Source organism: Homo sapiens, chromosome 3, assembly GCF_000001405.40.
Source record: "Homo sapiens chromosome 3, GRCh38.p14 Primary Assembly".
Taxonomy (NCBI): Eukaryota; Metazoa; Chordata; class Mammalia; order Primates; family Hominidae; genus Homo; species Homo sapiens.
In genome coordinates, this window is record NC_000003.12 from 126277708 (window position 1) to 126300543 (window position 22836).

The 22836-nt window shown below is 43.0% G+C and overlaps 1 protein-coding gene and 1 long non-coding RNA gene across 4 annotated transcripts in view, besides 3 other annotated features; one reads left to right on the plus strand and one right to left on the minus strand.

Moving 5' to 3' along the window:
- The first annotated feature begins 531 nt into the window (after positions 1 to 531).
- LOC107986124 (uncharacterized) lies at positions 532 to 13818 on the plus strand. Its single transcript, XR_001740882.2, has 3 exons — positions 532 to 610; positions 1267 to 1301; positions 10306 to 13818. It is a non-coding gene; the product is annotated as an uncharacterized LOC107986124 (long non-coding RNA).
- Positions 10289 to 10834: an enhancer, noted in NCBI's record as "H3K27ac-H3K4me1 hESC enhancer chr3:126006839-126007384 (GRCh37/hg19 assembly coordinates)". NCBI's record gives its function as "activates a minimal SCP1, AML or CMV promoter by ChIP-STARR-seq in primed H9 embryonic stem cells {active_cell/tissue: H9 hESC(primed)}" and the evidence as "EXISTENCE:reporter gene assay evidence [ECO:0000049][PMID:30033119]".
- The window catches only part of KLF15 (KLF transcription factor 15), a 69284-nt gene continuing 56865 nt past the window's right edge, over positions 10418 to 22836 (minus strand). Inside the window, exons 4-6 of one of the 3 annotated variants that reach the window (XR_924449.3) lie at positions 16212 to 16770; positions 11985 to 13050; positions 10418 to 11230 (exon numbers count right to left, since the gene is read on the minus strand). The gene's annotated coding sequence lies outside the window, so the exon portion shown is untranslated. Of the gene's footprint in view, positions 13051 to 16211; positions 16771 to 22836 lie in introns of all 3 variants that reach the window. The other 2 variants (XR_001740124.3, XR_002959509.2) reach the window with 2 other exon arrangements.
- Positions 10835 to 11379: an enhancer, noted in NCBI's record as "H3K4me1 hESC enhancer chr3:126007385-126007929 (GRCh37/hg19 assembly coordinates)". NCBI's record gives its function as "activates a minimal SCP1, AML or CMV promoter by ChIP-STARR-seq in primed H9 embryonic stem cells {active_cell/tissue: H9 hESC(primed)}" and the evidence as "EXISTENCE:reporter gene assay evidence [ECO:0000049][PMID:30033119]".
- Positions 14067 to 14567: an enhancer, noted in NCBI's record as "H3K4me1 hESC enhancer chr3:126010617-126011117 (GRCh37/hg19 assembly coordinates)". NCBI's record gives its function as "activates a minimal SCP1, AML or CMV promoter by ChIP-STARR-seq in primed H9 embryonic stem cells {active_cell/tissue: H9 hESC(primed)}" and the evidence as "EXISTENCE:reporter gene assay evidence [ECO:0000049][PMID:30033119]".

The following is a 22836-nucleotide window of genomic DNA, read 5'->3' on the forward strand; positions in this document are numbered from 1 at the left end:
GCAGAGAAGCAACAACAGACAAGAGGGGGCAAGGTGTTGGAAGACAGAAGAGGGAGCCCTGAGCTCCCCAGGCCAGATGGCTTCTGAACTCGGACTCCATGAAGTGTTAGAAGGCACTCAGTGTCCACACTCTGTATTGTGTAACACTCTCTCCAGGGGTTGAGGCAGCACCCGGTAGTATGCATCAACATTCCCATGGTGACAGTTATGAGTATTCATACTAAGTAGGGCAAGTGAAGACTATAATGGCTTCAGTCAGTTCAGGTCAAGTTTTGCCACTACATGAATTCAGGGCAATTCGGGTTTTTCTGGCAAATTGTTAATGAGCAAAATGTCAGTTTTCAGAGCCTTGTGAGGTTGGGATGGGAATGAAGGACTGTGGCCAACCTGATGTTGAAATTAAGCCTCTAGGAAGGGAGCAAACAGTGCTGCCCATTAGCACCACAGAGCCCAGGCTGTCATGGGGACTAGTGCTGGAATGGGACGCTGCTGGAAGCAAGAGGTCTTAGGAGTGTCCTCCCTGGCTCCTCCAGTGGTGTCCTGGCCTCCCTCCTAGTTGGTGCTGGTGGAAAGCATCTCTGAAGAGGAGGTGTGAACCTGCCACGTAAGAGTGAGTAGGGGTCACCCAGGTGCAGAGTCAGAGGAAACTGCCCGTCCTGCTCCGTGAGGTGGAAGCACAAGGCCAGTGAGGGCCAAAGTGGTCACTGGGAGGGGCAGTACCATTCAAAGGACAAGATTAGACTCCAGCTGCAATAGGAGCTGCTGGGAGATTTCAGGACCGGGAGTAAACACATCCGATTTGCACTGTGAAGAGATCACCCAGGGCTGCTGCGTGGAAAGTAGGATATAGGGATCCAAGGGGGAGTAGAGGCTGGTGGAGAGTCCTGCAGCTGGGAAAGGCCTGAGGGGTGGGGGGCTTGGGGGGCATGCCCTGCGGGGGCCCGCTATCGGTGCACAGACAGCCCTGGATGGTGCGGGCAGGAGAGGAACAGGGGTCCAGGGAGCTCCCAGGCTTCTGGCATGAGAAACAGAATGGAGGAAAGCCCACCCCGCTCCCTGGCAGCTGCGCTACAGTGGTTTGCAGCCAACTCCTGGAATAGGCTAACTCGGTTCAAATCCCAGCGTCACCACCTACTCGCTGTGTGATGTTGGTTAAGTTATTTAATCTCTCTGGGTCTCAGTGATAACTTGATGATAGTGTTTAAGCGTCCTGAAACAGGGCCTGGGGCTTAAGAGTGCCCTCTAACAACGATCCTGTCCTTCCAGGGCCTCGGGTTCTCCTTTGCCAAGATCCCTCCGCGGTGAGTATTCACTTAGCACCCAGGATCTTTAAACCAACCAGTGCATTCCCTTCTGAAGAGCCTTCAACTTCACTTTAAAAAATCCTGTGATGGGGCGGGCGTGGTGGCTCATGCCTGCAATCCCAGCACTTTGGGAGGTCAAGGTGGGCAGATCACGAGGTCAGGAGTTCGACACCAGCCTTACCAACATGGTGAAACCCTGTCTCTACTAAAAATACAAAAATTAGCCGGGTGTGGTGACACGCGCCTGTAATCCCAGCTACTCAGGAGGCTGAGGCAGGAGAATCACTTGAATCCGGGAGGTGGAGGTTGCAGTGAGCCGAAATCATGCCACTGCACTCCAGCCTGGGCAACAGAACGAGACTTTGTCTAAAAAAAAAAAAAAAAAATCCTGTGATGGCAAAGACGTTCTCAGGCTAAATTCAACTCATGTATTTTTTACATACATAATATTTGAAGGGTCTTATATGTGTATGTATATCTTCTTCTTATTGAATTTAAGAATACTTTATATATTTCAGATCTTAAAATATCCACAAATGTTGAAATTTTTAAACTATTTTTTTTTCATTCCATCATTTATTTTAAGGCCTTTACCATGTGGAAATTTTAGTTTTTATGGGAAATCAACCTTTTCTGCTGGCTGACAACAGCCTTCTCTATGCCAAGTTTATAGAATTCATTTTCCATATTTTATTCTAATTCCTTTAAGGTTTTATTTTTAAAGTCTTAATATTTATTTCTTCTGGAATTTATTCTTATGGATAGGTATGTGGAAGAAATCTAACTTTTACTGATTTTGGCCATAAAGCCCAATGTTATTTACCAAATGCAGGTGACTCTTGAACAACAAGGGTTTCAACTGCAAGGGTTTGCCACTTATAGGCAAATTTTCACCCGCCTCTGCCACCTCTGAGACAGCAAGACCAACCCTTCCTCTTCCTCCTCCTCCTCAGTCTACTTAACACAAAGATGATGAGGATGAAGACTTTTATGATGATCCACTTCCACTTAATGAATAGTAAATATGTTTTCCCTTCCTCAGCATTTTCTTAATAACATTTTCTTTTCTCTAGCTTACTTTATTGTAAGAATACAGTGCATAATACATATAACATGCATAATATGTGTAAATCAACTGTTTATGTTATCAGTAAGATTTCTGGTCAACAATAAACTATTAGTAGTTAAGTTTTGGGGGAGCCAAAAGTTATACACAAGTGTTCATCTGCATGGGAGGTGAGGGGTGTTCTTAACCCCTGCATTATCCAAGGGTGAACTGCAATCCATTTTATTGATTTGGAATGCCACTTTTATCACCTACTAAAGGGCCGGGCATGCAAGACACTGGTTTTGTTTCTCTGTACTCCTGCATTGCTCTATTTGCCTTTTCCTGTGCCCTGAAGAATTCTTTCAATCACTGTGCTTTTATAATATGATATCGCATCTGATAATACAAATAACCACATTGCTTTTTTTTGTTTCAAAAATATCTGAACTATTTTCAAACATGTATTCCTGCCGATTAAATTTAGAATCAACCATTGAATTTCAAATCACTTCCATTTGAATGGACTTGAAATGAATCAGTAGATTAATTTAAAAGAAATTCTGTCTCTAAAATGTTGAATCTCCTTTTCCAGGAATCTGGAAAGTCACTGCTTATTTAATTCTCTTTATATGCCTTTAGTTGACTTTTATTGTTATTGTTTCCCTACATTGGTTTGCGCCCATTTACTTAATTTTTTTCTAACAGCTTTATTAAGATACAATTCATGTGCCATGCAACTCACTCATTGAAAGTGTGCAATTAAATGTTTTTAAGTATATTCACAAAGTTGTGCAACTATTACCAGATTCAATTACAGAACATTTTCATTTCCTCAGTAAGAAACCTGGTACACTTTAGCTACTATCCCACCCCAGCCCCATCTGCTATCCCTACAGACCAAAGCAACAGGGCTCTTTGACATTTCATGTAAATGGAATCATATAATATGTGATCCTCTATGACTGGCTTCTTTCACTTAGCATGATGTTTTCAAGGTTCAATCATATTGTATGAAGCATGTATTAGTACTTGGTTCCTTTTTATGACCAAATAATATTCCTATTGTATGGATAAACCACATTTTGTTTATTCATTTATTATTTGATGAGCATTTTGGTTATTTTTACCTCTTGGCTATTACAAATCATGCTGCTATGAAGATTCATGTACAAGTTTTTATGTGGACATATTTCAGTCGTCTTGGAAAAAGTACTGCTGGTCTAATGGTAACTCCACATTTAACTTTTTGAGAAGCTGCCAGACTGTTTTCCAAAGCAGCTGCTCCATTTTTCATTCTCACAAGCAATCTATGAGGATTACTGCTCAACCCTGCTAACACTTATTATTGTCTGACTTTGTGATTAGAGCTATTATATAGTGGGGGTGTGAAATGGTATCTCATTGTTGTCTTGATTTGGATTTCTCTGATGTCTAATAATGTTGATCACTGTTTCATTTGCTTAATAGACATCTATATATCTTCTTTGAAAAAATGTTTATTCAGATCCTTTATTCATTTTTAATTGGGTTGTCTTTTTATTATTGAGCTGTGTTCTTTATATATTCTAGATACAAGTTTCTTATCAAATATATGATTTGCAAATATTTTCACCCATTCTGTGGGATTTTTTTTCACTTTCTTGAGAGTGTCCTTTGAGGCAGAAAGGTTTTCGATTTAGATGAAGTATAATGTATCTATTTTTCCTCTTGTTGTTCATGCTGTTGGTGTCTTATTTTAAAATCTATTGCCAAATACAAAGTCATGAAGATTTACCCTGTGTTTTCTCTTCAGAGTTTTAGGTTTGGGACTCACATTTAGGTCTTTGATCCATTTTGAGTCAATTTTTGTATATGGCAAGATGTAAGTGTTCAAGTACATTCTTTTGCATTAGGGTATTCCATTGTTTCAGCATCATTTGTTAAAGAGATTATTCCTTCCCTGTTGAATGTACCTGGCACCCTTATTAAAAATTAGTTAACCATAGACACATGGGGTTTATTTCTGGACTTTCAATTCTATTCTGTTGAATCTTACGCTGGTACCACATGGTCTTGATTACTGTAGGTTTGTAGTAAGTTTTGAAGCTAGGAAATGCAAGCCTTCCAACTTCATTCTTCTTTTTCAAAATCTTCTTGCCATTTTGGGTCACTTGAGTTTCCACATTAATTTTTAGATCCATTTGTCAAAATCTATAAAGAATCTAGGGATTGACTTGAATCTGTAGAACAATTTGGAGAGTATTGCCATCTTATACCATATGCGATCCATGAACATGGGATGTCCTTCCATTTTTAAGTTCTTCAATTTTTTTCAACCAAGCTTTGTAGTTTTCTGAGTATAAGTTTTACACATTACATTGTGATATTGTGATATACATATATAAATATATTTATATATATATATATATATATATATAGTTTTTGTCCTATTTCCTGACATACAACTCCTAAAACCCTCAGAATCTCCAGCGTGATAAGGATGTCTTTTGTATGCTAATGAGATGACTGGTGGATAGCAGCCCCTAAGTAGTTTGAAGATGTGGGGGTGATCACAGGAAAAACATGGGCATGATTAGAGGGTTGGGACTTTTCAGCCCCACCCCCAACCTCCAAAGAGGGGAGAGAAGCTGAAGGTTAAGTTGATCAACAGTGACCAACAATTTAATCAACCATGTCTATGTAATGAAGCTTCTATTAAAAATGTAGAAAGACTGGGTTCAGGGAGCTTCTAGATAGCTAAACATATGGAGGTTCCTGGAGGGTGTCATGCCTGGAGAGGGCATGAAACTGCCGCACACCTTTCCACATACCTCACTCTACATATACTTCATTTGGCTGTTCATCTGTGTTCTTTTTAATGTCCTTTATACTAAACCAGCAAATGTGGGAAAGTGCTTCCCTGAGTTCTGGTGAGCCATCCTAGCAAATTAATTGACCCCAAGGAGGGAGGTCATGGCAATCCTGGTTTGTAGTCAGGGTTCCAGGTATCTGAATTGGAGGTAGTTTTGTGGGGCTGAGCCCTCTATCTGTGGAATCTAACACTATCTCTAGGTAAACAGAGTCAGAATTTAATTGAATTAGAGAACGTCTAACTGGTGCCCACTAGAGAATCTGGCCGAAATTTGCTTGGTGGATTGGTAGGGAGAAATCCTTATATATTTGTTCACAGAAGAATTCTGTGTTGTATTGTAAGAGTACAGTGGGGGAAAATGATAATGTTTTTTCAATACCCTTACACACTTCTTTTTGTTTATTTGTAAGCATTTTATTCCTTTAGATGCTATTACAAATTGAATTGTTTTCATTATTTTATTTTCAGATTGTTCATTGCAAGCATATAGAAATACAACTAAGTTTTGTACAGTCATGCATCACTTAAACGCAGGGATACATTCTGAGAAATGTGATGTTAGGTGATTTTGTCATTGTGTGAACACCTTAGAGTGTACTTACACAAATCTGAATGATTTAGCCTACTACACATCTAAACTATATGGTACAATATAGCCTATTGCTCCTAGGCTACAAACCCATACTGCATGTTACTATACTGAAAACTGTAGGTGATTGTAACACAATGGTATTTGTGTATGTAAACATAACTAAACATAGAAAAGGGGCAGTAAAAATATATTACAACGGATAAGATATGGTACCCCTGTATAAGGCACTTACCATCAATGGAGCTACCAGGACTGGAAGTTGCTCTGGGCAAGTCAGTGAGTGAGTGGTGAGTGGATGTGAAGGCCTCGGGCACTACTGTGCACTACTGTAGACTTTATGAGCACTGTACATTCAAGTTACACTAAATTCATTTTTAAAATATTTAAAATATTTAAATATGTAAAATAAAAATATTTAAAATATTAAATATGTAAAATAAAAATATTTAAAATATTTAAATATGTAAAATAAAAATATTTAAAATATTTAAATATTTAAAATAAAAATATTTAAAATATTTAAATATTTAAAATAAAAATATTTAAAATATTTAAATATTTAAAATAAAAATATTTAAAATAAAAAAATTAAATATTTAAATATTTTAAATAAATTAAACTTACCTATCTTTTTTAATGTATAAACTTAATTTTCTTTTAACTTTTTAACTTATAATAACACAGACTAAAACACAAATACATTGTTCAGCTGTATAAAAATATTGTCTATTATTCTATAAGTATTTTTCTATTTTAAAATGATTTTATTTTCTTTTTACTATTTAAACTTTTTTGTTAAAAATGAAGAACACGCACACACATTAGCCTAAGCTAACACAGGGCCAAGATCATCAACATCACCATCTTCCACCTCCACATTCTGTCCCACTGGAAGGTGTTCAGCTTTATGACACATAGAGCTGTCATTTCCTGTGTGATGACAGTGTCTTCTTCTGGATACCTCCTGAAGGACTTGTCTGAGACTGTTTTACAGCAGCTATTTTTTTTTAAATAAGTAGAAGGAGTACATGCTAAAAACCACAATTAAAATAGAATATAGTAAATAAAGCAGTAGCATAATCGTTTATTATCATTATCAAACACTATGTTCTGTACATAACTGTGTGTGCTGGACTTTGAAATGACTGGAAGCACGGCAGGTTTGTTTTCGCCAGCATCACCATAGGCAGGTGAGTAATGCATTGTGCTACTACATTACGACAGCTACGACGTCACTAGGCAGTAGGAATTTTTCAGCTCCACTATAATCTTATGGGACCCTCATCGTATATGCGATCCATTGTTAACCAAATGTTTTTGTGTGGCACATTACTGTATATTCATTTATCTTGTATCCTGCAAACTTGCTGAACTCTTTTATTAGTTCTAATAGTTTTTTAGTGGATTTCTTAGAATTTCCTACATACAAGTTATGTGATCTGTGAATAAAGATAGCATTACTTCTTCCTTTCCAATCTGGATGCTTCTTATTTATTTTTCTTCACTTACTGCCCTGACTAGAATCACATTTATGTTTCAGTTTATTTCTAAGTTTTTGTTGCTATGAGAGATAGAATATACCCCTTTATATCTTATGATTATTTCTATTATATGGAAAATCTGTTTAATTTACTGAACATTTCTTGATTCTAATAGTTTTTATATTATTTTCTTAAATTTGAGGAGTTAAAATTATACTTGTAAAAATGGTTCTTATCTATATTATTAATATTTACAGCTTAAATAATTTTCTAGACTCATTTCATTGTCTAGGATCTCAAATACAATATGAAATAGTGACAGATGAGGCAGGAATCTTTATTTTATTCCCAAAAGGATGTGTTTCCTTTGAATAATAGTCCATTGCTACACATTATTGAGCTCTTATTATATGCTAGGAGCTTTGCATACATTAATATTAAATCCTCCTTATGACTGTGAAGTGGGTTCCATTGTGAGCCACAGTTTCAGATGAGGAAGCAAAGGTACAAAGTTTAGGTTAAGTAAGTTGCCCACAGTTACGCATCTGGGTGCAGAGCTGGGATTTGAATACAGAACTGAGTACGTCACTCTTGCATGTGACTCTGGCTTACCCCCTGTAATTCAGAGACCTGAAGCCAGGGTCCAGACATGTCTAAGAGGGCCACCAAAAGGCTTCAAGCAGCCCCATGAGCCCCTTGAAAATCTGTACAAAATTTTCAATGCATGTCCACAAATTTATTTTTGTGTGTATAACATCCAGGTTCCCCACTGGATTTTCAAAGGCATTTAATACCACTCAAGTCTTTCCCTGAAAGTATAGTGATGCCTGTTGGGTTCTGGTAAAATTCCTTTTGTTTCATTAAGGATATTTTATTCCTAACCAGCAAAAGCTTTTTATACTAAATATGGTATTACATTATGAAATACTTATTCAGAACCTTTTGAGGCGCTAATCTCTTGCTTTGCCTAATAATCTAATGACCAGCAGTAATGGATCTTGCAAGAATGATCCATGTCTACAATCCCTGGACAAGCCTTGTTTTGTTTTATTGTCCTGGTGGATTCTTCATATTCTATATGAACTCAAAAATATCTGAGTTAGGACTCAATCAATTTAGAAAAAGTTTATTTTGCCAAGGTTAAGAACACACACCTGTGACACAGCCTCAGGAGGTCTTGATGATAAGTAAACTTAAAGGGGGAGGTGGAGGCTTCCAGGTCACAGGTAGGTTTTTTTGTTTTGTTTTGTTTTGTTTTGTTTTGTTTTGTTTTTGACAGAATCTCGCACTGTCACCCGGAGTGGAGTGCAGTGGCATGATGTTGGCTCACTGCAACCTCCACCTACTGGGTTCAAGCAATTCTCCTGCCCCAGCCTCCCAAGTAGCTGGGATTACAGGCGCCCCCACATCATGCCCAGCTAATTTTTTGTATTTTTAGTAGAGATGGGGTTTCACCACGTTGGCCAGGCTAGTCTTGAACTCCTGACCTTGTGATTTGCCCGCCTCAGCCTCCCAAAGTGTTGGGATTGCAGGTGTGAGCCACCACACCCAGTCATAGGTAGTTTAAGAATTTTCTGACTGCTAATTGCTTGAAAGAGTTATTTCCAATAGAAAGGAATGTCTGGGTTACTATAAGAGGTTGTGGAGACCTAGGTTTTATGACACAGATGAAGCCTCCAAGTAGCAGCCTTCAGAGAGAATTGGTAAATATTTCTCATCAGACACTAAGGTCTATGTTGATGTTAACATTGGTCACCTTTTCCTGAATTCCAAAAGAGAGGCAGGTATAAAGAGGCATGTCCCACCACCCCTCTTCCCATCATGGCCTAAACAAGTTTTTCAGGTTAACTTTGGAATACCTTTGGCCAAGAGGAGGGTTCCATTCAGATGGTTGGGGGGAGCCTTAGAATTTAATTTTTGGTTTACATTTGCTTTGCTATGATTCTGAGACTTGCACCTAAGTGAGATTTCTTTTCCAGTGTTTTTTTTATATCTTGAGTTAATTTTAGTACTTGACATTTATTTTATTTTTTTAAGAGTCGAGGTCTCCCTATGTTGCCCAGGCTGGTCTCAAACTCCTAGGCTCAAGGGATGCTCCTGCCTCTCCCTCCCAAAGTGCTGGGATTACAGGCCATCACCCCTGGCCTGACATTTCTTTTAAAAATTATGTATTGCTTTAAGATGTTTAAGCATATTAGCTCAGCATTCTGTACTGTATTTGTCCCACTTTAAAAATTTTCCTTCTGGTCCATTTTGCACTATGCCTACGGCATGTTTTCCATAGCATTAGCCTCCCCCCACCCCCCCGGCCCCAATAGAGCCAAAACAGCTACCAGTGTCCCCTGGGAGTCAGGGATGGCCTGGGCTGGTTCAGGGGACTGTAGCTGGAGCCCCTGGCTGGCTGTGTGATTCTGCCCAGTCCCCCGCTCCCTGTCCGGGCCCTCTGTTCTCTCCTTACGGTGGGGAGAGGTCTGAATGAGGCCCCAGCTCACGCACTCCATTATCTTGAGGCTGCTCCCACCCCCAGGCCCGAGGGAGACAGAGGCCTTTTGAGCTGGGGCTGGCAGGCGAGGCTGGAGTCCCAGGGCTACCAGAGCGTTGCGGAGGGAATGCTTTGAAGAGGCCCCGCCCTTCCTGGGGCTGCGGCTCAGCTCCGGCCTCCCTCACCCGGCAGGGATTCCCGTTCTAGGGAACATGTGGTTCGTGCCAGCCAGTTGATGTGGGCGCTTTCTTCTGCCCCTACTCCCGGCTGTCCGCTTCCTCCCCAGCCCCCTCCTGTGAGCTCTGGGAGCTACAGAATAAGGACACTCCTTGGCCCCAAGCCAGCCCCAGCTTGCTCGGGAGCCTGGGTTTCCCCCTCCGTCCCCATCACCGCGAGGGTCTGTGCATGGGAATCTGCTCCAGAGGCTCCCTCAGGCGCCGCGCCGCGGGGATACGCCTTTCACCGCCCCAGCAATTGGAGCGCTGAGTCGAAGTCCTGATTCCACGATAGGCGGATGAAGCCCTAACGCTGAAATTCTTTCCTCTAGGTCTTTGGCAGCGGCTGGGGCCAAAGCCCGGGCAAGACCAACGCCTTCGGCACCCGGACTCAGGCTCCGTCCTCTCTGCCAGCGTGCGGCTACAATGACTCGACATGGCAGGTGGGCAAGCACAGCACGCCCCAACAGACATGCTTTATTTAATATGTACTAAAAATACAGCAGGCCTGTGAAACCCACAGGTGCAATTGCTTAAAATGAGGCTAAGGTAGACGTGTGAATGGTTAATAATGAGTTGATTAAAATATTCAGAAATCATCTACTGGAGACGGGCAAACTGCAAAATGGTAGCATGGGAGCAACTGATGTTCGAGAAAGCCCAGGCTCCGGCAAGCCGTGGGTTTGAATTTACACATGCGCACATAATGGGTATGAATAAACCTTTCTTCAAAAAAACCAGATCAAGTCAAGGCAGTTATTTGCTGTGGGCAGGTGCCAAGGCTGGCTGCTTCAGTCCCCACGCGAGTCGCCCCCGAGCCTGCTTCTGCAGCCCAGCCTGGAAAGTGCAAGGCACTTGGAAAGGAGCCACGCCCAACGCCCTGTACCAGCGGCCTCCCGGACACCAACAGCGTCCTCTGCGCCTGCTGCAGCTTGTCCCTTAGTCCTCCCTGGACAGAGGGCGTGAAGTTGGCTGCGCCAACAGGACGCGGCCCGCTCACTTCGGGGCTCATTGTCCTGGACACACAGTCAGGGCTGGACGCCTCCAGCAGCCCCACGCTTCACCCCAAGGTCCGCAAACCTGACAACTTCGGAGGTAGGGATATCTTGACACAGTCTGAAAACAAACCATTTAAAACTTTTTTTCTCAAAAAATTAAAATAATTTTTTTCTGCTTACAAAATCTATAAATTCAGTTCAATATCAATGAAAATCGCAACAGGATGTTGACACTTGAGAAGCTGATTTGAAAGTTCATCTGAAAGAGAAAATATATAGGAATCCTGAAGATGATTTCGAAAACCTCCAAAAAGACTTCAGTAATTCACACAGAAAATCCAGAAACAGATTCATGTTTATGGGGAAATTTAGTATTTGATACAGGAGACCTTTCAAAGCCAAGCTGGAAAGATGGAAGGTCAACAGAGGCTTTGGGGAAAACTCACTATCCATTTTGAAACCAATGTTAGAATCTTCTTACCATTTGCAAGAATAAACTCCAGGTGTATTAAAGAGCTAAACATTTAAAAAATCTATAAAAGTTTTAAAGCCAAATATGGAAGAATATTTTTAAAATCCTATGGTGAAGAAGGCTTTTACTAAGCAGCAAACAAAACCTGGAAACCGTAAAGGAAATGACTGACAGATTTGAATATTGCAAGAACTAAATGAATGCCTCCTTAAACAAATTAAAGGACAAATTCCAGGCAGGGAGAAAATAGTTTACAATAGAAGTAATGTGCCAATGGTTAATATCTGTGTTGCATAAACATGTCTTTCCAATCAATAAGAAAAGAGTAGGAAATGGGTAAGGATTTAACAGGCAATTCACAGAAGACAAAGTAACCGGCCCCTAAATGGGAGCATATCCTCAACTTCACTAGTAATAAAGGAAACGAATTTAAAAGACGATACATTTCTCACTTCTTCTCTCCTTATAGCTGTATTCCACCTTTGACCATACAGCCTGTTTTTATTTATCGTAAGCATAGGTTAATAAATACAGGGCTTACCATGTTAATATCTTCTTTCTATGGATGCGTAACAACTTATTTTATCATTCCGTTTGTGACTGAAATTGAATTTCTTTCTGTAAACCTGAAAATATCTGAGACAAGCCTCGATCAACTTAGAAGTTTACTTTGCCAAGATTAAGGACACGTCTTGGGAGACAGGTCTGTGCCTTTCTCCAAAGATGATTTCGAGGGCTTCAGTATTTAAAGGAAAAAGCCAGCTGGAGGGGACAGAGGGAGGGTATGGTCACATTACTGAATCCAAATGTTGCAAAAGAAAAGGAGCATGTAGGGGAATGGTCAGTTATGTGTTCGTCCCATGCTCAGTAACTCGACTCTTCACACAAGATAAGGTGAATGCAGAGTGGAGATCTTTAACCTTTTATCTGTCTCTATCTGCTTAGGAACAAAGGGAAAGGCAGCTTCTTGCATGACTCCACTTTCAGCATTTTTTTTTTCTTTTGGCGGAGGGAGTAGGGGTCCCAAGTTTTTATTTTCCTTTCACATTTCTATTTTGCTTTTCTATGATCTGCTGCTGTAAGCTTCCCTATAGCACATTCCCAGGCTAGAATCTCATAGTGGGGACTGCCAGCTCACAGGGAAAGCACAGGGATGCTTGGATGCAGACAGGCAAGCCCAGCTCCAGGGCTGCACCTGTGGACCCCACCCCAGCCCAGCCCAGCCCCTGGAAGAGGGGGTCTGTCTGTCCCTGATTGGCCCACCAGCACCCTGTGGTTCTTTCAAAGTTATTTCTGACCTATACTACTGTTTGCCCTATTAGGGTGCCCCTTCCTTCCTTCCTTTCTTCCTTCCTACCTTCCTTCCTTCCTTCCTTCCTTCCTTCCTTCCTTCCTTCCTCTGTCTCACAAGAATTCCTTTTACAGTTTGTCATTTGCCATTGTATGTGGCTAAATCTGTCAAACTTCAGCACTGTTTTCTAGCATTGTTGCCAGGCTTAGCCTCCATTCCAAGATTACAGAAGCATCCACCTGAATTTTCTCCTAGAACTCTCACAGCTGCAGTACGTTCTGCTTTGGAGAAGGAATGGCCCAATTCCCTTCTGAATCTGGAAGAAAACAGAACTGGGTCACTTTACATATTATTTGGCCATTTTAAATTATATACCACTTTTACATTTAATGTAGCCATTTGACGGAGTTACTTCAAAATTTTCATATAAGCCTTGTCAAAAGGTCTCATTCTGTACTTTTACCATTTTTTTGAATCTTTTTTATCTTTATCCACTTTCATCTTGTTACAGGCCACTGCCTTCAGAGAAGGTGACAGAGGGCCATGTCTGAAACATTCTCCCACAACCAGGAACCCTCAGCAGCCGCTGAAGAGGAAAGGCAGTTAAATGGAAAGACTTCTGAGCAAGTGGAGGAAAAGTCACGTGTGACCTAGGGAGGGGCTCCCACAGGAAGGGGCAATGCCCTTGCCCTGTTCACCTAGCCTCCAGGTGGCTTCCCACTTGAAATTTCAGAGGATGGCAGAAACCTACTTACAAGGAAATGAAAGAGGGCACAGCAACCTTAAGACCAGAGCAGCCCACGATATTTTTTAATGAGGGCAAAAATAGAAGACTTGCAAAAGACCCCTGAAAATAATGCCTGGAAGCTGCGAAACATCAGACTGACACCGCACAAAAGAGGTCCAGCTGAGCAGGAGAAAAGCTTGAGAAGCATCCAGAACAATGTAGGTGGAGAGGCTAAGAAGAAAGAGGAGCCCACATGGAATGAATAACCAAGGTCGGGACAGAGGAAGGTTCGCCAGAACTGGGAGGGCTGAAATTGGACATTGAGATAAATTAAAGAGTGTTCTTTAAAACTGTCAAGACTTTGGCTGGTCAATAAGTAAACTGCAAACGAGTGTTCCTAAACCACAGCAGCAATGCTCCCTGGAGGAGGGAAGGAGGCCGGGGCTGCCACTCTCCCAGGTGGCTGCGTCCCGGCCTTTGCCATTGATGTGTGCTTTCTCCAGGCTCACAGATGTCCCTGGGCCGGTTGCATCTGTGACCAGGACTCTGCCACCTGCCTGTGGCTTGCTGATCAGCTGGTCACCCAGGAATGTTAGGGATGAACAGAGACCTAGAACTCAGGCTCCATGGATCTGGCAGCACCAGGAGACGAGGTTTCAAATCTCATGGCTGGGCCAGCCAGCCAGGTGCCCTGGAACTGTTGTGATCCCTGCTCCTTGCCGGGCTTAGCCTCCTCTTACTTCAGCCCAGAAGTCCCCGAGTACCCACTCAACAAATGCCATCCCTTTAATTTCTGTGGCCTGCTGCCATCACGGCTCGCCTAATTCATTCCCTCCACACCCTAAGTGTCCACGGAAGTGGCTGAAACAGTAAAACCACAGAGGAGCATTCATTCCAGTCCCCAAGGCAAGCCCCCTCCTTTGCACCCTGCTGTTTGGTTGATTTCTTCTTTCTCCACTTCCCAGGATGTGGAGCAGATTCCCTGTGGCATGATTACCTGAGGCCAGGTACAGACTGGCTCCAGGGAAGCACAGGGCTGGGGTCCCAGTTCCCACACCGGGCCATTCATTAACAGGTGGGAAGAGTTCCACCACTTCTGAGGAATTAGCAGGCTCCAGGTGACCCTATGTCACCCCAAGTGACTCTCCATTCCCCACAGACTCAGCCACAGGGCCAACAGTTTCTATTGCTATCTTTCCCTCCAGAAAACCCCTGGGCCATCTCGCCTGCCCAGCTCCTGCTGCTCCCCACGGGAGGGCTACAGTTAAAGAAGGGAAAGTGGCTAATTCACTAAGTAATTAACTTAAGGAGTGTCTATTGAACATCTACTGTGTGCAAGATGCTGTTCTAGATTTGAGATACAAAACAGGGAAAGAGAAGGCCCTGCTCTCACGGATGGGCATTAGAAGAGTGGGGTTGATAAACACGAGGATCAGTGAAGAGCATTCCAGGCAGGAATAAGCACTGCAGAGGAAGGAGGATGAGATGAGAAGGGAGAGCGAGCGAGCAGCAGTGGGGGAGGTGTCCATGGGGTTGAGTCTGGACGAGGGGAGGGAAGCAGCCAGTGCTTAGCAGGAAGACAGGGCAGGGGTGCAGCTCCCAGAAGGAGACAAAGAGGACCTTTCGAAGGTCTGCAGGTGGCAGGAGGGGCAGAGGAGGCTGGACCCAGGTAAGAAGTCATTGCAGGGGTCCAAGCCAGGAGAGGACAAATCTGATGGAGGTTTAAAAGGCTCAGTTGTCTGCCTGGTGGAGAAGAGACGAAGGGGCAGAGGGGGAAAAAGTGATGGACTAAGGATAGATTTTGGAGGCAGAGCAAACAGGAGAGCATGAAAGAAACAGAGAATCAAAGATGATGTTTAGGCCAGGGGCGGTGGCTCATGCCTCTAGTCCCAGCACTTTCGGAGGCTGAGGTGAGAGGATCGCTTAAGCCCAGGAGTTCAAGACCAGCCTGGGCAACATAGCAAGACTGCATCTCTAAAAAAAAAAAAAAAAAAAAATTAGCCAGGTGTGGTGGTGCACACTTGTAGTCTCAGCTACTTGGGAGGCTGAAGTGGGAGAATCGCTTGAGCTGGGTATGTTGAGGGTACAATGAGCCATGATTGTGCCACTGCACTCTAGCAGTGGATGACAGAGTGAGGCCCTGTCTCAAAAAGAAAAGATGATGAGTTATTGGTTTGGGACCATTTTCTGACCTAGGGAAGACAGAGGAGAAGCTGGCTTGTGGGTGGGTGGTATCTGGAGCTCCGTTTTGGCCAGGTTACATTCCAGGAGCCTCCTCGGGGTCTGGGAGGAGCTGTGGAGAACCCAGACATGTCTGTAGGGGTGAAGCATTTCTGGCCTGTGTAAGCACACACCTGGTGGCCACAGGGCCTGGGCTGTCTGAGAGAGGTCTGGTTTGAGATGTGTCAACGTCGGACTCTAAATGCCTCTCACCCCAGGGCTCAGGTAGCCCCTTCCATGCCTGTCCAGAAGACCCTGCAGAAAGTGCTCATGGTGGTGCCATCTCACCTGCAGTATTTGTTCCTAAATCAGCACAAGTCGGATCCTAGCAAGGGCCATGGAATATGCTTAGAGGGTGACACATACACTGCCACTGCCTGTTTCTATTCATGAACTCACTTTCGAAAGTGTCCCATTCTGAGATAATTTTAGACTTATAGAAGAATTGCGAAAGCAGCCTCCCCACCCCCAGCCTCTTCTCATGCCGGCATTCCATGAATCAGAGTGCGATTATGAGAGCTGAGACTCACCTCGCCGTGGTCTCGAGAGCTGGACGGCAGGCAGGCCCCTCCCAGTGCCCTCCTCTGTTCCCAGCTCCCACGTGCATTTGGCTGTCACCTTTCTCTGTCTCCTTTCTGTGTCAGGGCCGGCTTTTTAAGAGGATGGGTCTGTCGCTCTTGGACAGTCTCTCCGCCTAGGTCTGCCTGACGCCTTCTCTGCATTGGACTGAGGTAATGCCTTTTTGGAAATTCCGTGGCAATGCCACAGAAGTGATGTGCATTTTCGGTGGGCCAGATCAGTGGGTGTGGGCTGTTAGTGTGCCTTGTGCCTGGTCATGCCAACTTTGATCTCTTGGTTAGGGTGGTGCCTGCCAGGGTTCTCCCCCATCAACTCACTGTTTTTCCTTTGTAACCATTAAATATTCAAAGAGATGCTTTAAGGCTACACAGAGACACTGTTTGTGCTTAGATCTCTGTCTGCTAATTTTACTATCCTCTGGTGATGTTGCCTCAGCCGTGCTCCCTGCAGTCCTCTGGTGCTCATCGTCTTCGTCTCTCATTCGTTCCACATTTATTAATTGCGATTCATCTGTAAGAAAGCAGTTAACTCACTTTTAAACGTCAATAATTAAGCCATACACCAGTTGATAGCCTGTGGGGCAGGAGGAAGAGCAAGGCCTTCAGTCAGTCCAAAGGGTGGCTCGAGTAATTTTTTAACTGAGCACTTTTCTCTGCTTGCAGGCTGACCCTTGGTTGCATTTGGCCTCTCTAACTTTGCCCCATCTCTGCTGCTGAGGTCAGCAGCTCAAGAACGAGCCTTGCACAGGCTTTGGGGCCCTCTCCAGAGAAAATCGGGTTCCTTCTTTCCCTTCCAAGCATCTCTGCTCCCTTTGCCCTGCCGCTAGGAAGAAACCTCCCTGTCAGAGCCTCTCTACTTCTAAAGCCAAGTCTTTTGCCAGTGGCCCTGCCCCTCCATACACACACACACACACACACACACACACACACACACACACAGATACGTACACATACACACATGTGCATGTCCATGCATGCATAGATACACACAAACATGTATATATGTGCATATATACATACGTCTATGGATTCATATATACACATAATACACACATACACATGTGCACATATACATGCACATGCATGCACTTATACGCACATGCATATAGATACACATAGATGCACATGAGCATGCACACACATATGTACACACATGCATATACATACATATACACATACATATATGCTCATAAAGAACTACATACATATATAAATATATATTCCAATAACAGCTGTCAGATCATTGTTTTTAAAAAGCAAACAATCACAGAAGACACAAACAGCTTAGGCTCTTCTACAGCCTACTGGTCCTTACAACAACTTTAAGAGCAGATACAGTTACTATCCACTTTGGAAGATGAAGAACCTCCAGCTTCCTTGGCCCAAGCCTACACTTCTAGTGAGGGCAACGCTGGGAACTACATCCAGGCCTTTGCTCGAAGCCTGTCTCTGTACCCCCGTCACCATATGCTGCTCTAAGATTAGTTTCCCCGTTGGTTTGGTCAAAAGGCCCAAACCAACTCAGGATACAAAGTATGGCACTGAGGATACAAAGGCATCCACATTCGTATCCCGAGTGCCATGGCCAGATCAGTGCCTCCTCCCCTCCCCTGGCACCCTCCCCTCCACCCAGAGATGTGATCAGCTTCACATGGCTACCAACAAGTGAGACTGTCTGTCCCTTGACAAAGATTATATGCTTGGCCAAACTTTAGTCAGGCTTCTGAACCTTCCCCTTGACCCATCTGTGCACTTCCTTGCAAAATCCAGATTTAGCAAGAACAAAGCTAAGTCAGTTTGGCAAGAACTCCCTGTCCTTCATGTCTGATCAGATTCTTCACCCACCACCATCCCCCAGGTGATGTTGGTTATGCTGACCTGTCTTCAGCAAGAACACTGTTAGGTTGGATTAGCCAGGGACCCCCTAAACCCTGATGCTTCTTCTTAGTCATTTCCCATCCACTGACCCTAGTCTGGCTCCTGGTTGTAAATTCCGACTTGTCTGTGGTATATTCATAGTTGATGCTGATCTCTCTTCCCCACTGCACAGTCCCATTGCTGTTGTCCCTGTACGTATCACAATGGTCCTGAATAAAGCCTACCTTGCCATGCTTTAACAAGGTATTATTTAAATATTGCATAATATTTTCTTTAACATCCCACAGTGTCACTAATGCTGGGTGTTACTCATTGTTCATGTTTCTCAGCCTCAGGGGGGCTTGAAAAATCTTACTGTTATTTTTAATGTGTGCTAAATTTATATTTGGAGTCTCGCTCTATCGCCCAGGTGGAGTACAGTGGCGTGATCTCTGCTCACTACAAGCTCCACCTCCCAGGTTCACGCCATTCTCCTGCCTCAGCCTCCTGAGTAGCTGGGACTACAGGCGCCCACCACCATGCCCGGCTAATTTTTTGTATTTTTAATACAGACGGGGTTTCACCATGTTAGCCAGGATGGTCTTTATCTCCTGACCTCGTGATCCACCCGCCTTGGCCTCCCAAAGTGCTGGAATTACAGGCGTGAGCCACCACGCCAGACTGCAACATACATTCTTAATCTGCCAAGTTATATTTCTTAGCAATTTAGATGCCTTGTCTTTTCAAGAGAGGCCTGCAGCCTAGGGATTAGCACCTAGCATGTCTAGGGCTATGGCCTGAATCTGCAAGTCCAGCCGAGTGAATGTGGGAGTTTGGTTACATTCCCTAAGCTTCTGATTCCTTACCTCCAAAGTGTAGAAAACACAGTAACTACTTCAAAAGTTTGTTCTGAAGGGAATACAAATTAATTCATTAAGGCAGCTTCCATTCTCAAATAGGAAAAGTTGGCAGTTGTTATTGCTCATTATTTTGAGGGGATATTCATCTCCTTTCTTCTTAGTTTGTAAGAATTATGTATATACTTTAGGGTATTAACTTTGTGATACAAACATTTTTATTTTCTAGTTGATCATTTCTTTAGTAACTTTCTTTTTTTCGTTTGTTTTGTTTTTTAGATGCAGGGTCTTGTTATGTTGCCCAAGCTGGACTTGAACTCTGGGCTGAAGCAATCCTCCCACCTCAGCCTCCCAAGTAGCTAGGACAACAGGCATGTGTCACTGCGCCTTAGTAACTTTCTGTGTGGTGATTAATTCTAAACTTAATTTTTAAAATTTTGTTAGTTAAACCTTGAAATGTCTTCTTTTATAGTTTCTAGCTACAGTGTTATACTTGCCCTGTTTTATATTTGCTTAAAGAGTCACCTGTTTTTTTTTCTAGCACCATATTTTAACAGCCTTATTCATCTTTATGCTTAAGTAATGAATCTGGAACTTATTTTGATGTAAGATATCATGTAATGTATCTAACTTTTACTCCAAATGATAAGCCTGTTGACCTAACACTACTTTTTAATTAATTTATTATTGCCCCACTATTGTAAAATATTGCTTTCTATCATATACTAAATTTCATATAAATTTGAATCCATTTATGGTTTCACAATCCAGTATATTCTTTTTTTATTTCAGTCATTTTTGGGGAACAGGTGGTTTTTGGTTGCATGGATAAGTTCTTTAGTGGTGATTTCTGAGATTTTGGTGAACCCATCACCCAAACAGTGTGCACCGTACCCAGTATGTAGTCTTTTTTTCCTCACCCACCTCTCCCCACACGTCCCCAAAGTCCATCGTATTATTCTTATGCCTTCGCATCCTCATAGCTTAGCTCCCCCTTATAAGTGAGAACATATGATATTTGGTTTTCTTTTTCTGAGTTACTTAACTTATTCATTATTCATGGCCTCCAGCTCCATTTAAGTTGCTGCAAAGGCCATTATTTCATTCTGTCTTATGGCTGAATGGTATTCCATGTTTATATACCACATTTTCTTTATCCACTCATTGGTTGATGGGCATTTAGGTTGGTTCCATATTTTTGCAATTCTGAATTGTACTGCTATAAACATGCGTGTGCAAGTGTCTTTTTCATATAATGGCTTCTTTTCCTCTGGGTAGGTACCCAGTAGCAGGATTGCTGGATCAAATTGTAGTTCTACTTTTAGTTCTTTAAGGAATCTCCATACTGTTTTCCGTAGTGGTTGTACTAGTTTACATTCCTACCAGCAGTGTAGAAATGCTCCCTTTTCACCACATCAATGCCAACATCTATTATTTTTTTATTTTTTAATTATGGTCATTTTTGCAGGAGTAAGGTGGTATCTCATTACGGTTTTGATTTGCATTTTCCTGATAATTAGTGTTGTTCAGCATTTTTTCATATGTTTGTTGGTTGTTTGTATATCTTCTTTTGCAAATTTTCTATTCATGTCCTTAGCCCACTTCTTGATGGGATTATTAGGTTTTTTTTTTTTTCTGATTTGTTTGATTTCCTTGCAGATTCTGGATATTAGTCCTTTGTTGGATGTATAGACTGTAGAGATTTTCTCCCACTTTGCGGGTTGTCTGTTTACTCTGCTGATTATTATTATTATTATTATTATTAGCAGCTGTGCAGAAGCTTTTTAGCTCCATTATATCTCATTTATTTATTTTGTCCTTGTTGCATTTGCTTTTGTGTTTTTAGTCATAAATTCTTTGCCTAAGCCAATGTCTACAAGAGTTTTTCTGATGTCATCTTCTAGAATCTTTATGGTTTCGGTTCTTAGATTTAAGGCTTTGATCCATCTTGACTTGATTTTTGTATAAGGTGAGATATGAGGATCCAGTTTCATTCTACATGTGGCTTGCCAATTGTCCCAGCACCATTTGTTGAACAGGGTGTCCTTTCCTCACTTTATGTTTTTGTATGCATTGTTGAAGATCAGTTGGCTGTAAATATTTGGCTTTATTTCTGGGTTCTCTATTCTGTTCCATTGGTCTATATGCCTATTTTTATACCAGTACCATGCTGTTTTGGTAACTACAGCCTTGTGATATAGTTTGAAGTCAGGTAATGTGATGCCTCCAGATTTGTTCTTTCTGCTTAGTATTGCTTCAGCTATGCAGGCTCTTTTTTGGTTCTATATAAATTTTAGGATTGTTTTTTCTACTTCTGTGAGGAATTATGATGGTATTTTGATGGGAATTGCATTAAATCTGTAGATTGCTTTTGGCATTATAGTCATTTTCACAATATTGATTCTACCCATCCATGACCATGGGATGTATTTCTATTTCTTTGTGTCATCTATGATTTCTTTCATCAGTGTTTTGTAGTTTTCCTTGTAGAGATCTTTCACTTCCTTGGTTAAGTATATTCCTAAGTATGTATGTATGTATGTATGTATGTATGTATTTGTTTATTTATTTATTTTGCAGCTGTTGTAAAAGGAATTGAGTTCTTGATTTGATTCTCAGCTTGGCTGTTGTTGGCGTATAGCAGTGCTACTGATTTATGTACATTGATTTTGTATCCTGAAAGTTTACTGAATTCATTTATCGTATCTAGGAGCTTTTAGTTAAAATGAACTCATTGGTTAGCCCTAATCTGGTATGACTGTTGTACTCATAAAAAGAGGAGATGACTGCCGGGCACGGTGGCTCACGCCTGTAATCCCAGCACTTTGGGAGGCCGAGGAGGGCAGATCACGAGGTCAGGAGATCGAGACCATCCTGGCTAAAACAGTGAAACCCCGTCTCTACTAAAAATACAAAAAATTAGCCGGGCATGGTGGCAGGCGCCTGTAGTCCCAGCTACTCAGGAGGCTGAGGCAGGAGAATGGCATGAACCTGGGAGGCGGAGCTTGCAGTGAGCCGAGATCACGCCACTGCACTCCAGCCTGTCAACAGAGCGACACTCCATCTCAAAAAAAAAAAAAAAAAAAAAAAAAAGGAGATGACCACCCTGACATGCACAGAGGGATGACCACGCGAGGTCACAGGGAGAAGGCGGCCATCTGCAAGCCAAGGAGAGAGGCCTCAGGAGAAGCCCACCCTGCAGACACCCTGATCTCAGACTTCCAGGCTCCGTGACTGAGAGACGATAGAAGTCTGTTGTTTGAGCCCCCGGTCTTTGCTAGTTTGTCGTGTCAACCCAGGCAAACTCATATGGGGTGTACGTGCCCCCACGTGTGGTGACATACCGGTAGCATGGGCCTCAGAAGCTGGCTGTCATGAGGGGAGGCTCCAGGAGCTCCACAGGGGGGTGAATCATCCTGCTGTGTATCAGCAACGGGGGCTCTGGGGACCCGGGGACTTCAGGCTACAATGAGTCAGGTTGTCCCCACCCTGGCCAGGGGACATTAGAGCAGGGTGGTACCAGTTTCAGGAGTAATTGCTGTGGTGGGCAGGAACGAGGCCATCCGACCCCTGAGCGGCTTCCTTTCCTGGCCTCTGCCCTCCCTTCCCTTGCTGTGGCGTCCTGTGCCTATAACAACTGGACCCCACCACCTCACAGCTCAGGCTGGCCCTCGCAGGCACTTCCATCTGCCCTGTGCAGCGCGTCCTCCCAGCGGAGACAGGTCAGTCCTTGCCTGGGGACTACCGGGTGCCCCCAAGGCAGGCCCAGAGCGTCGGGGGTCTTCCTCCACTGCACGGTAGGTGTGGGCAGTGACAACTGGACAGGCATCCTCCCATGGCTCCCCATCTCCCCTGTGACCCCT